General features: G+C 38.0%; 1 protein-coding gene across 5 annotated transcripts in view; it reads right to left on the reverse strand.

The window, feature by feature from the left end:
* The window catches only part of CHCHD3 (coiled-coil-helix-coiled-coil-helix domain containing 3), a 297,221-nt gene that overhangs the window by 226,361 nt on the left and 55,981 nt on the right, over positions 1–14,879 (reverse strand). For 4 of the 5 annotated variants that reach the window (NM_017812.4, NM_001317177.2, XM_047420549.1 and 1 more), the window contains one exon: positions 13,316–13,397. In NM_017812.4, the coding sequence (NP_060282.1) occupies positions 13,316–13,397 (82 nt within the window). Of the gene's footprint in view, positions 1–11,175; positions 11,266–13,315; positions 13,398–14,879 lie in introns of all 5 variants that reach the window. The other variant, NR_133671.2, reaches the window with a different exon arrangement.

A 14,879-nucleotide genomic window follows, 5' to 3' on the forward strand; every position in this document is an offset into this window, starting at 1 on the left:
AAAAGGACTTGGACTTTATGCTAAACCTAATGAAGCCATTAGAGGGTTTTAAGCAAAGAAAGTGACATGATTCAAAATGCATTTTTTTAAAGCCAACTAATGCTGCTTTGTGAAAAATAGAATGTGGCGGACAAGAATAGCCCAATGGAGGTGACTTTGTAATACTACAAATGAGAAATGGTAATGGCTTACACCAGGGTTTCTCGGCCTCGGAGCTATATCAACATTTTGAACTGAACAATTCTTTGTTGTAGAGGGGCTGTCCAGTGCACTGTAGGATGTTTAACAGCATTGCTGGCCTCTACCTATCAGATGCCAGTGGTACCCCCAATGTTAGGACAACCTAAAAGGTCTCCAGGTATGGCCAGAAGTCCCATGGGGAAGGGAGCAAAATCTCCAGCAGCTGAGAACCACTGGCTTAGCCTAAGGCAGGGGTGGCAAAGGTGAGAGGTAATTCATTTCTAATATATTTTAAAAGCAGAGACATTAGGGCCAATTCACTGGAAATGGGAAAACAGGGACATAAAGGCAGGAAGAATGAATTTGGAATCGTCAATAATAAAAAATCTTTAAAAAATTATTTTATCTTAGGACCAAGCTCTCTTGAGAATCTGTCTTTACAGTTAATATTCTTTCTGTTACGAAGAAACACTGACATTTACTTATTTATTTATTTATGCCTGACATTTATTGAATGGTTGATTGATTAATTGAGACAGAGTATTGCTCTGCCACCCAGGCTGGAGTGCAATGGCGCAATCTCGGCTCACTGCAACCTCAGAAAGTTGATAAGGGTTACAGAAAGTTGATGTTACCCTCAACTTTCTGTTACCCGCAATTTTCTGTTAGACTAGCATTATCCACATTTTCAGTAGTTTGAGGAGAGAGCTTTTCTAAGGCAAACTATGTAAGGCAAACCTATGTAGGGCTAAATAACATAAATTATAGAAACCCACTTGGGCTCCTTTTCTTTAATTCTATAAAAACTGAATTGTACAGCTGACAGATATATTCATAATGAAATGCACAATTTCCAACCTATTACAGCTAAATCTACAGTAATATTAATTTTTACCCACCATTTGACAGTATTTTGACAGTTTTATTTCAAAACATAGTCATGTGAGTTAAAAAACAAAACACAAAAAGTCCTTTCATTTGTGAAATTCTTTTCAATCTAAATTTCTTATTTATTGAGCTCCATAATTAAGGCATAGTTTACTGGTAAAACCTATAAAACATAAATCTTCAGGCCAGGCACAGTGGCTCACGCCTGTAATCCTAACACTTTGGGAAGCCAAGGCAGGCAGATGGCTTGAGCCTAAGAGTTCGAGACCAGCCTGGGCAACAAGGTGAATCCCTGCCTCTAACAAAAATACAAAAATTAGGCAGACATGGTGGCATGCACCTGTAGTCCCAGCTACTCGGGAGGTTAAGGTGAGAGGATGGCTTGAGTCTGGGAGACAGAGGGTGCAATGGGCTGAGATTGCACCACTGCACTCCACCATGGGCGACAGAGCCAAATCCTGTCTCAAAACTAAGAAAGAAAAGGAGGAGAGGGGAGGGGAGGGGAGGGGAAGAGAGGGGAGGGGAAGGGAGGGGAGGAGAAGAGAGGGGAGGGGAAGGGAGGGGAGGGGAGGCCAAACCTTCAATAACCGACATCAAAAGGTCAGGGCTGGGAGTGGTGTCTAACGCTTGTAATCCCACCACTTTGGGAGGTCAAGGTGGGTGGATCACCTGGGGTCAGGAGTTTGAGACCAGCCTGGCCAACATGATGAAACCCCGTCTCTACTAAAAATACAAAAATCATCTGGATGTGGTGTCGGGTGCCTGTAATCTCAGCTACTTGGGAGGCTGAGGCAGGAGAATCGCTTGAACCCAGGAAGCAGAGGTTGCAGTAAGCTGAGATCACACCCCTGCACTCCAGCCTGGGCAACAGAGCAAGACTCCGCCTCAAAAAAAAAAAAAAAAAAAAACATTCAGACAGACATATAATAGGTAACATTACTGCTGGATCAGAAAATAATTTAGCCTCTGAAACACAGTCTGATCGAGTGATGGTAAGTATGGGTGACTCCAGATGCCGACTGCCTGCGTTCAAATTCCAGCTCCTCTGCTTTCTGGCTATGTGGCTATAAGCAAGTGACCTCTGTGTTTCGGCTACTTCATCTACAAAGTGAGGAGACTAGCAGGTCAGAACCTGCCCCATAGGGCTGCTATGAAGGTTAAATAATCACATGTGCAAAGGGCTTGGACCAGTGCTTAGGACAAAAGAAGTATTCAAAACTGTTAGCTATTACTATTACAAATGATTACTTACTATTACATATTATTAGTAGTAGTAATATTACTTTTCTTAGGCAAAGTCTTCTTAAATGGCATTTATTATCAGATAGACGGTCTACTTGAATCTATATATGCTGACATGGGAAGAGAGATCACAATATATGACTGAGTAGAAAAAAGCACGTTATATAACATGCTCATTTTGTTTTAAAAAAACAAAATGATAAATAATCTAGGGTAAGAATGTATAAATGATTTTGTAGGGAGTAAGAATAAGGGAAAGGAGGGAGACAGAAAACTATTCATCTGTATTTACTGAATTCCTTTTATAGGTATGTATTTCCCTGGTAATTTTCTTTTTTTTTGTTAAAGAAACAAACACAATATCCATGTTTTCAGTTGTTTAAGGAATGAATTTCCTATGTCAAACCTACCTGGTTCGGTAGAAATAATGGAAGAATTGCAGAAACTCTGTTGCATAAGTGTTTCTTAACTAGTAGACACTTGTCACATTAGTGGTTTCAGTTGACTTTGTGGGGTACTTTTTTTGGTATCATTTGGTTTTAATCCAACAACCCCATCAGGAAGTCAAAATGCCCTGTAATTTACGGATTTTTATGAGATTTTTGTTTTAATCTAAATCAACCTTGACAAAATGGCACCAAGAAACAAGGAATTTAAAAGATCCATTCTGAGAAGTTGTGAAGAAACTTGAATTTAAATCAAGAATTGAAACATTTACATGGTTAATCTGTGTTTTAATGCTTTATACCTGACACCTAAATCACACTAAAATTGTTTGGGGGATAACTCAAAAAAAAAAAAAAAACCTTTCAAATGAAATGGTTGCAGCCTCAAGGATTCAGATTGTTTATATGTAAGGAAGCAATTGTAAATAGCATATAACTAACAATTGCTCCCATCGTGGCTGAATATTTTGACAGATAAATTCAATATTCTAGTTCCAACGGCAAATTGTCCCAGCAGCTAAGTTTTTAATTGATTTCAAAACATCTAAATTTGTAGACTAAATGTGATGACTGACTATCATACAAAAGGCAAATAAATACTAACAACAGACACTACAAGCCAAAAACCCAGCATATCAAGCAACACAAATATATAAAATAACAGAATAAGCCAGTCTTCCATTTTAAAAAAAAAAAAGTCTAAGAATGAATATAGAGAGAAACGTAAATATTTTTCCCCTCTGCAATCATTAATTAAAGTAATTCCTGCACTTCTTTATTGCTTCCTAACTCCAAGAAAGAAGTTAACAAATTCCCCCACCGTGAAAGGTGCCCAATTTGCTCTACTGAACTCAGGAAATCGCTAGTGAGCACACACGTGCCTCACTGACCAGCAGCAGATCCTCATCTCTAAAGTTCATGAGGCAGGGCACCAGCTGCTTCCACATACTCCCCGCTGTACTATTAAGAAAAATGTCCCAATCTTAAGCTAACGAGAACTGAACTCATGAGAAATTTAAACTGCCATTGTCACTGAAAATGTGCACAAACAAGCATTTAAAAGTCAGGTATAGAGCCAGGCACAGTGGCTCACGCCTGTAATCCCAACACTTTTGGAGGCTGAGGCAGGTGGATCACTCGAGGTCAGGAGTTTGAGACCAGCCTGTCCAACATGGCGAAACCCTGTCTCTATTAAAAATACAAAAAACTAGCTGGGTGTGGTGGCGCACACCTGTAATCCCAGCTACTTGGGAGGCTGAGGTAGGAAAATCACTTGAACCCAGGAGGCGGAGGTTGCAGTGAGCCTAGATTGTGCCACTGCACTCCAACCTGGGCGACAGAGCCAGACAACGTCTCAAAAATTAAATAAATAAATAAATAAATAAATAAATAAATAAATGTCAGGTATAGCCTACACAACAAAAAGAATATTAACTGTAAAGACAGGTTCTCAAGACAGCTTGGGCCTAAGATAAAAGAATTTTTTTAAATACTGTACAGAGTAGCTATCTAGATCTAATAACCAGTAGCACAAAACAGAGGTCATTTTTAAGAGACCTAAGAGACCTGTTATTTACTAAAGGTTTATAAGAGAAAATCCAAGTAACTGTTTGATACTTCTTCCCACAATTGTAAATGAAAGACTTTAAAGAAGGTATTCCCTGTCCACACAGAAAGTAATACTGTAGGGTGTTTAAATGCAGACTTGGATTCAAATCCGAGCCCCACCACTTACTTGATAGATATGACCTTGGTGTATTAGTCTGTTCTTGCATCACTATAAAGAAATATCTGAGACTGTGTAATTTATAAAGAAAAGGCGTTTAATTAGCTCACGGTTCTACAGGCTGTACAGGAAGCATGGCAGCATTTTGGGAGGCCTCAGGAAACTTTCAATTATGGCAGAAGGGCAAGATGAAGTAGGCACATCTTTTATGGCCAGAGAAGGAGGAAAAGAGAAAGAGGGAGAGGGACTGTCACACACTTTTAAACAACCAGATCTCATGAGAAATCTATCACAAGAACAGCCTTAGGAGGATGGTGCTAAACCATTAGAAACCACACCCATGATCCAATCACCTCCTACAGGCCCCACTTCCAGCACTGGGGATTATATTTCAACATGAGATGTGGGTGGGGACATAGAACCAAACCATATAACTTGGTAAGTTTCTTACCCTCTCTGTTTCCTCATTTATAAAATGAGGATAACAGTAATGCCTACCCAGTAGGGGTGTTATATAGTTGAAATGAATGAAAATACATAAAATGCTTAGAACAGTGCTTAGCACACAGTAAGTAAGAGATGACCCCTGTGTTTGTTAATGTGGGTACATTGTAGTTGGGCATATGGATCCTATGCTCTGAAATCGTTTTCACAGATTATATGTGACTCCAGTGTGCATGTTCTATGTATGTGTCTGTATAAAACTGTGAGGAAAGTTTTCAAAGACAAATGACAACTGCTTCTGAATAAGAATGGGATACAAAAGAATGTGGTTCTCTCACTAAAGTATCAAACAGAAATTTAAGATGGGCTACTCCTGTTTAACAGTTTGCTCCAACCAAGAAAAGAAGGGGGTAAGGTTATTATTTGAACAGGAAACGGTGCCAATGTTTGGAAGTATTATAATCTGGAGAGAAAATTTACATTTGATTTACAACTGTGTTGCCCACATTCCTTTTTAGCTCGAGGCTATATTGGCAAAGCTATGGAGGTCAGGAGGGGAAACAGGGACTCTCTCTGAATATTCTCCAGTATTTCCAGATCCTGCACAGAAGGACCTCACACTCTTCTCCAGTGTTCCTAACACAGCATTACCAACAGGATCAACAGATGGCTTCCAGAAGGCCCAGGACTAAGAAACAGCCAGGGCTAGGTCCAGCCTATGTGGACCACTGCCCATAAACACGGACTTCCGGATTAAGGAAATGGACAACAGGCCACTGTCCACCCACCTTTTAAAACAGAAACAGAATCGAGTCTATCCAACAAATGCTATTTGGGTAAGGAAAGTACACTCCTCAAACACAAAGTGTCCAAATTTGCGAGAAAATGACCTTGACCAAAGTTTTCTTGAAGAAAGCCCCAGTTAGCACAAGGGCCTGGGTCTTTAGGAAGGAAAAAGAAGAAAATAGGCTGACACAGCTCTAAGTCCCTAGTCCTAGCTTTAACCAGACAGCACTTAAATCAGCTTTACTTTGGGTTCCATGTTGCACTCCCTTTGAAAAATGTTTATGTAATGATGACAGCCTATATGATTCTATCACTTCAGCAACAGACTAGGTAGAGCAATGCGGCAGGCCAATTCTAATCTAGTTCTGCTAACTGAAAAACATTACCTGTGTCTAACTCAGTCATCTGTTTTTATAAATCAGTGATAATACTGACAATAAACATTAATCTTTTATGCAAGGAATAATAAATGACTGAGTACATTAAAACTCCACATCCCCAGACCAAAAAGTAATGGAGACACTTCGACAAGACTATTACAGCTATATAACACTGAGAAACCAATTCCTAGAAACTTCCAAATGCAGAAATTGACTTTGGCACAAATGACTTCAAACACTGCACTTCACGAGAGAAAACACTGTAATTACTGTCAAAAGAAACATGTGAACAAGAAGTGGTCAAACATCACTGCTGCTATTATAACCAGTAAAAAAGTTAGATGTCTATGGCACGCTTGATTGACTCTGGTTTTCCAGGTTTGATATTAACATGTAAAAATATCTTCTCAAACAGGATTTACAACAGTGTAGCATCAGTAGGAAAGAAAATTGGATTTGAAAAAAGAAATAAAACAATAAGAATAAAACAGAGCTAGAAAATCCAAACTTCTATCACTGTTGGTTATAAAAAAGCAGTTGGCTATTAAAAATAGAAAACTGCCACCTGAAGAAAAACAATGAAAGTAGCAGATGGCACAAGATTCCAATACCTAGTACAGACACAGCACTTCCAATCACCTTCCAGTGAAAAATACTGGGTGGCTAGGACGTGTTCCTACTACATTCAGAACTGGTTAGGTCTTTTTATCAATTGTTAAGCAGAATCAAATGGAAAAGTATGAGTATAAAACAACAGCAATGCAATAAAGCATTTAAAAAAACAGCAAAAATATGATTAATAAAAAAATAATCTAAAATAGTGGGACTTTTATACTACAGAAGGATCTCTTAAATGTTGGAGTATATAAAGGAATATTTTGGAAATAATGCCAACAAACCATCTACTACCTCCAGTGAAGCCTAATGAGCCTGGGAAATATGCTCACATCACAGCAGGATGGTATAGGTTACACCTGGACATCAGCTGTGTGTCGCTGAAGAGCTACAACTCAAATTTCTGCAATAACCTTCTTTGCAACTATTTATAAATTACAAGTGAAATTCATTTGCCTGTGTCAGTTGTGACTGCATTGAGAATATACTGACTGCTAACTGATCTCATAAGATCATTTCAAAACTATGCCTTTATAAGCCTTGATCAATATTAGTTATCAATAGTACTGATTCCCTGAAAAGTTTTTTTAATTACTTACACCTAGAAATTACATGCAGGTTGAAGGTATGTAATTTTCATAACTGTGTAATTTGTGTCTATGACAGGAAAACAAGTGTTCAACACTATACTAAATTAAAAGAAAGATTTTTAAGACAAGTATCTATAGTCTCTGGTCAGTAGCCAATTTCAAAGAGATAATTTAAGTTTTTATTTTAATATAATGTAGAATAGATATATGCCCACATACATAATATAGAACTGCACCTTCTAGAAAAAAGGTTATCATGATTTTCCAGACCCAGTGATTCATTCAACTGAACAAATACTTGTGAGACTTTACTATGTGAAAAGCACCATGCTAGTTGCATGATTTCTCTTTTTTTTTTTTTTTTTTTTTTTTTGAGACGGAGTTTCGCTCTTATTGCCCAGGCTGGAGTGCAGTGGCGCGATCTTGGCTCACCACAACCTCCACCTCCCGGGTTCAAGCGATTCTCGTGCCTCAGCCTCCCGAGTAGCTGGGATTACAGGCTTGTGCCACCACACCCAGCTAATTTTGTATTTTTAGTAGAGATGGGGTTTCACCATGTTGGTCAGGCTGGTCTCAAACTCCTGACCTCAGGTGATCTGCCCACCTCAGCCTCCCAAAGTGCTGGGATTGCAGGCATGAGCCACCAGGCCCAGCCACATGATTTCTTGTATCATGTATTTTAAACATGATGCTACCCACAAACTCCTGTTTGTTTCAGAACTCTTCCCTCCTCCTTTTTTCTGCTTTTTCTTTTGCCTTTTTCTTGCTGCCTTTTTCAAAGGCAGAACATATGTAATAATAAAAATCAAGATAAATTATCATATATAATGAACTTAAACAGATGGTACCATCCCTGTAAATTTCACCATTAGTATGAGAAACTAAAAGGTACAAATAAGTTTTAAGCCCTTATTTGATGATATCAACAATGCTATCAATGGAAAAATAAAAGGACTACACTATACTCTAACACAGATGGCTGATAAAATTTATGACTAATTTATTAAACCACTCATTATACCAGATAGATTATTTGAAGTCTTACAAATCTAATGTAACTTTCCAAATAACTAAAAGTGCGGGAAAAATCTCAACTAATGTCCATTGAAAAATAGCGAGCAAGTAATCTTGGTTGATGTACAGTTAGTTCCAACATCAAGCAGCCATTCCCTTTCTTCTTGGTTTCTTGAAAAAAAAATGTTATTATAAGTGAAACACTTTCACTTGCCTTTATAGGTAAAGAGGTGAAATTCAAATGCCAAAGGTCAGAGGTCAGAAGTAGTCACATTTTTCTAGCTGTCAAAGACTGACTTTTGGAGGTAGGGCACAGAGGAGAAGTAAATCATATTTTTAAAGTCTATACTCAAACTGTAGCATATTATGTCCTTGCTATATTGGCCTACACAGTTACAACACAATATGGTCAGCTATAATCCAAACACACCATTGAGTATCACAGCAAAAACAGACTGCCGACAGAGGCATTTACTCTGGATTCTCGGTACGCTGAGCAACTATTCTGTCTACTAGATGTTTTGATAAGCAAAACCATGATTTCAAATTAGACCCAAAAATTTTCGTGTGTGCACTAATCTATCAGCGATTTGTGCGGGACATGATTGTGGAAGCAAATCACTTAAGATCCCCATAAAACAGGATAAATCTAAGACAAAATGAATTGGGAGTCCATATGTAAATGTTTTGTAAAAATGAAAATATATATAGTCATCATGCTAATAATTAGCAACTGTATTGTCACTGTGGCCTTAGTAAGAAACCTCCTCTAAGGCAACTTTTAAGTATGGCAGGTCTGCATTAGATTTAGGAGTGGAGATTTAATGGGGTTGGGGTAAATTTTAGATGACCTAATGAAATATCATCAGTTTCGATGATTTTGAATGGAATCTAAAAGCATGTGGCCCTACCAGTCACAGATGCCTAAAAAGGGCTTCTGCATTAAGTAGAAGGTAAAGTAAGACATTCAAGAAGTCATTCCGAGCTGACAAATTTTATGGTCTGAAGTGTACATGGACTGCATTTTATCAATTCTAGGATGCATATTTTTCCACGTTTTCACAAACCTAAAAGCATCTGAAAATTGCTATCTGCCAGGCGGCAGTCCTGCTGCTGTTGTCATTGCTTGCACAGAAGCATCAAAATTTGCAGAACTGCTGTCAGCAGCTCGGAAAAATTCCAGGAATAAGAGTGGAGCAATCTTTTAAGGAATGTTGTGTCACCGAGGTTTTGACGGCATAGAATATGATATTGTGTGGAAAAACAAAGACATCAAACCCTGAGTCCAAAAGTGATCCAGAACAATTAAATCCAATGTGGGCTGGTTTGAAGAATACCTTAGCCCTGGGTTTCTCACTATTGGTACAACTGACATTTTGAGCCAAATAATTCTTTTTTGGTGGGGGGAGAACGGATAAGAGGGGGGCCGGCGGGCAGCAGGAGGTGAGGACTGTCACGTGCATTACAGAATGTTAAACAGCATCCCTGGCCTCCATCCACTAGATGCCAATAACATTTGACAAATTTTAACAACCAAAAATATCTCCAAACATTGTCAAATGCCCCCTGGGGATCAAATGCTCTCCCAGCTGAGAACCACTGCCTTAATCAATTTATTTTGCCTACTTTTTCCTTCTTATGAATATACATATGTTTTCAAAAATTCAAAATTAGTGTTAATGAATTGTTTCAATAAGAAAATTCTAAGAGATAAAGTATTGTGTTAAAACTTGCAGCAATATATTTCATAGGGTACACCAAATACACTAAAATCTTAAAATCAGGGGCATGCAAAGAAATTCAGCCACCCGGCATCCGTTCCCCCTCCTTATGGAATGCTCATCATGATTTCCTGCTGGGGAACTATTTCCTCACCACACACAGTTTTAGAAACATCCAGTTCTCCCCTTGCTAATGGTTTTCTAAGTCTTCCATTTGTTTCTTTTGAGCTATATATCCTTTATGCTCCTAAAAATTTCCTTGCTTTCTAAGCTAATCGGAGTTAAATTTCAGTCTTCCAACTAAATAAATCTAACTGAAACAAAGTACTTATTTCAACTATGCTGATAGAAGACATTTTGGAATATTTCCCTGCCATAAAATTCACCAACCTGTTTAAAATTGTACTACTTTTCCTCACCACTCACCACATATGTAGAGTGACTAGATATGTGGATGAAACAAGAATTGTTACAACTGTGTCATGGGATATGGGGATTCACTATACTATATTTTTCATGGAGCTTTAAAATTTCCATTTAAATGCCAGGCACGGTGGCTCATGCCTGTAATCCCAGCACTTTGGGAGGCTAAGGCAGGTGGATCACAAGGTCAGAAGTTCAAGACCAGCCTGGCCAATATGGTGAAACCCCGTCTCTACTAAAAATACAAAAAAATCAGCCGGGTGTGGTGGCGGGCGCCTGTAATCCCAGCTACTCGGGAGGCTGAGGCAGGAGAATTGCTTGAACCCCAGAGGTGGAGGTTGCAGTGAGCTGAGATCACACCACTGTACTCCAGCCTGGGTGACAGAGCGAGACTCCATCTCAAAAAAAAACAAAAAACAAACAAAAAATTTCCATTTAAAAAGGGTTACAATGATAATAGATATTCTATAAAGAAAAATATCACAATCGAAATTAATTACAAAGTCCTTCTCGAACAAGTTTCTTCAAAATGTACGTACGTAGATGCGTATGTCCAGCTATGAAGTGCTTGAGAACTGGTCAACAGGTTTGTGTGCATTTGGAGGGAAAAGAGAAAACTTGGCACGCAGGGTATATACCATATGAGTAACAGTACAAAGGCAAGAGGAGCTATTTTCTAAAACTGCCTATAAATCTCGATTCAATTCAGGCAATACATACAATAACGTATACATGTTCTGTGACTCCAAAAAGTTGCTGCTAAAAGACTGCACACAAAACTTTCTTAATGCTGTTTCTGAAGTTTCTTCTCTGGTAGAAAAAAAGAAAGAAAAATATAGCTATTGATTCTCCTAAGAACTATCATATAGATGAACACACATTTTTTGCCAAGATTTGACAGCTGAAGTTTTCATGAAGGAGGCTTCAAACAAAACTTTTTTTAAAAAAGAAAAAATAATACAAAGGCTGTACCACCCTCTGCTCTCCTTAAAGGTGACAGAAAATAAATTCTTTATCAATAGTCATTTGTCCAGGTTACAGCTAGGCTGCCCACCCCATTCCACCTGAGATATGAAATTGGCTTTCACTGGCACCTTTTATTCATCTCATCTGCCCTTTCCCTTTCATGAGCCAAGGCAGAGCAAATGGAAGCTGAATAATGAAGAAGAAGAAAAAAAAAAAACCCACAGTGAGTTATTTTAACAAAAAGCCTGCACCATATGGAGAGAAGGGAAGACCAAAAAAAAAAAAAAAAATCCTATGTGAAATATAATAAGCAAACTAAATATGAGAATCTAACCAAAAAACCCCTATTAAAATAAAACTCAATTAAAAATAACAAAATTTCAAAGACAAGAAATTCTACCATAACATATTGATTCTCTTTTTTTAAAAATTGATTCTGAATTTTTTTGGAATATTTAAACTTCACTATCTAATTATATAGTCTATCAACCTAACCCAATTAAATAATTATAAAGCACTGCATGGGAAACTGTGGAAATATACAGAGACCTTTCTGGCAGTACTAATTAAATCTTGATTTTTTAAATTGTAAGTCATAAGCCTTCTCTATTTCCTAAGAAAATAGCAGTCTTAATCTAAAATTCATATTCTGTTCTGTATATTTTGTGTAAATTGGGAGTTAGTTTGTCAAAAGAAATATTAAATAATAATTTTTCACAACCCTCATTTTAAAGATGAAATACTTAAGGCTCAAAGAGGTTAAATTATATGGTGAAGGTCCTATGGCCAGTGAGGACTACAATCCAATTCAAAGATTCCTTACCTCTAGATCTCTCAAGCAAAATAGTTGGGCAGTTCAAAACAAAACAAATACAAACTAAGCACCTGCTCAGTGGCAAGCATGTGTTTGGTGCTCACAGTAAAAAGACATTCACATGATCATGTAATCATAATTCTCTAAGCTATGTGCAAACTCCAGAAATAGTACAGATGGGAAGCACTTTATCTTAGATTAAAATGTTTTCCCATCTTTTTATGAATAAGTACCTACTCTAAAACTTCAAAAAGTAGTATTTAAAAAAAATGCTTTTTTAAAATCCTTTCATGGTGTTTTTTTCAGTGGATAGCTCGTCAACATCTTTTTGAATCAGCACACAGGGCTATAACTGATGGTCTAGTGTTCCATTGCAGGCATGTACCATAATTAATTCAGCCAGTCCTCGAGGATGGTCGGTTTGGATTGCTTCCAATTTTCTACTGTTACAAAAACACTTCAATGAACATTCTTTTAGCTGTTGTTAGTAGTATTAATAATGGCAACAATCAGATGGAAGTGTGTGCAGAGGAAAAAATCTCGAGCAATAAAATGTTAAAAAGTGGTTAACTTCAGAGGATGGAAACAGGATTTTTATTTCCAACCTTACTTATGTCTGTAACATCCTAATTTTTTTACGTGAACAGAATAATAATTAGTGCTATTTGTTAATCCGGGCACTATGTATCACACACGATATTCATCATGAGCCAAAATATTTACTTTAGTGCCTGTGGCAGGCAATATAATTTTCAATGATGCATACATTTGCTGATCGACTGGGAAATTCCTGGAGAATACTCAAAAACTCCTTCTCACATATTGAGAAAACACGGCTCAATATTCAAGCAACCAATACAAGAGATATAATGGTAATTCACAGTCAGCTTTGGGAAGCAGGTAACCCAAGGCTCTAAGAGGCACAATCTAAAACCGAAAATGGCCAAGTTCATGTGTTCAGCACATTCTGAAGTTCAGTCATACACAAATAATGAGACTTATCACAATCATTCTTCTCTAAAAATACTGGTAAATATGACAAAACCCACCAAAACCTCTCTCTGATACCACAAAACTCACCGTTTCTGATCTTCGGATTCTTTCTTGGCTTGCTCCAATGCCAGCTCCTCAGCTACTCTTCTTTTCAATTCTTCATCAGAAACTAGAATCGATAAAGAGCAGAAGGAGATAAAATAGGTGACTTCTTAAAAATAAAAGCAAGAAAATACTCAGGAAAGCCCGGCTGAGACTAGATTTGAACAGGCAAAGTTCTGCCAAGTGGCCAGCGTCTCCTTGGAACTTCTCAAGCACTGTGGAAAAGGCCAATTAGTGCACTTCAGGAGTAATTTAATCAAGAGTTCCCTAGTGACCTAGATTTCCACTCCTGCCAAAATTTATAACAAACTCAAGGAACTGCTTACTGTACAGTGGGGACTGAGTCAGTAAGGACCAATTCTTTAAGATGATGTCCTAACATTAAAGTCTGACAACGGTGTGTAAGGAGAGGAGACGCTGTAAGAAAGGGACTTTGGAGAAGAAAATGACAAAAAAAAATCTTCTCATTTCAATAATTAAACAACTAACAAAATCATGTACTACAAAGAGCAAATCATTTATAGTTACATTCATTTTTCCATTATTTATGAAAAAAGCCATTTGTCATTTATGAAAATTTTGAAACCCTATTTTTTGGAATACATGTCATTCAAATTCAAGTGCCAGCAACTGGAGAGAGACAGAGAAGAGTGCTGATAACACAGCTGGAGCTTTCTAAATACCTGGTGACTGGATTTGAAACATCTGGTCTTTCCAATTAGAAGACTGTGTGTGGTATGTTTTGTAAAGTTTCTTACAGCTATGATGGTAAATAAAATGGACAAATTTCACACACGTCTTTAAGAGGCTTCCACAAGAAATAAACAAAGACTAACTCCTCTTCACTACAGACCTACTACCCAAAATTACGAACAAGAAAGCACCAGAAGCACTTAGGAGGATCTAGGAATATCCACAGAACCTAAGGTCTTTTTTGGTTTTTTTCTCTTTGTTTGTTTGTTGAGACAGAGTCTCGCTCTGTTGCCCAGGCTGCAGTGCAGTGGCACGATCTTAGCTCACTGTGACCTCCGCCTCCTGGGTTCAAGCAATTCTCCTGCCTCAGCCTCTCGAGTAGCTGGGATTACAGACATGTGCCACCACACCTAGCTAATTTTTTGTATTTTTAGTAGAGATGGCGTTTCATCATGTTAGCCAGGATGGTCTCAATCTCCTGACCTCATGATCCGCCCACCTTGGCCTCCCAAAGTGCTGGGATTACAGGCGTAAGCCACCACGCCTGGCCAGGACCTAAGTTTTATTTCAAATAGTTGAGCCTATCAGATGGAAAACTAGACAGCAGTGTCTCTTTCGATAACCTCGACATTATAAATGCTTAGTCCCACAGCATATGCAAAAATATTATTTACAATAGGATATGCAAAAGCCCTTTCAAATATTTCATTGGCATGAGGCAATCACAAAGAAGATACATGAAAGATCAGAAGGATGACTTCCCTTAGTTGAGGACTATCAGACTGCAACAGCAGCATCCAGTGATACCATCAAAAAGCTAAAAAGCCCTCAGAATGGGAGAAAATATCTGCAAGTC

The sequence above is a fragment of the Homo sapiens genome, chromosome 7 (genome assembly GCF_000001405.40).
Source record: "Homo sapiens chromosome 7, GRCh38.p14 Primary Assembly".
In the NCBI taxonomy this organism is placed as follows: Eukaryota; Metazoa; Chordata; class Mammalia; order Primates; family Hominidae; genus Homo; species Homo sapiens.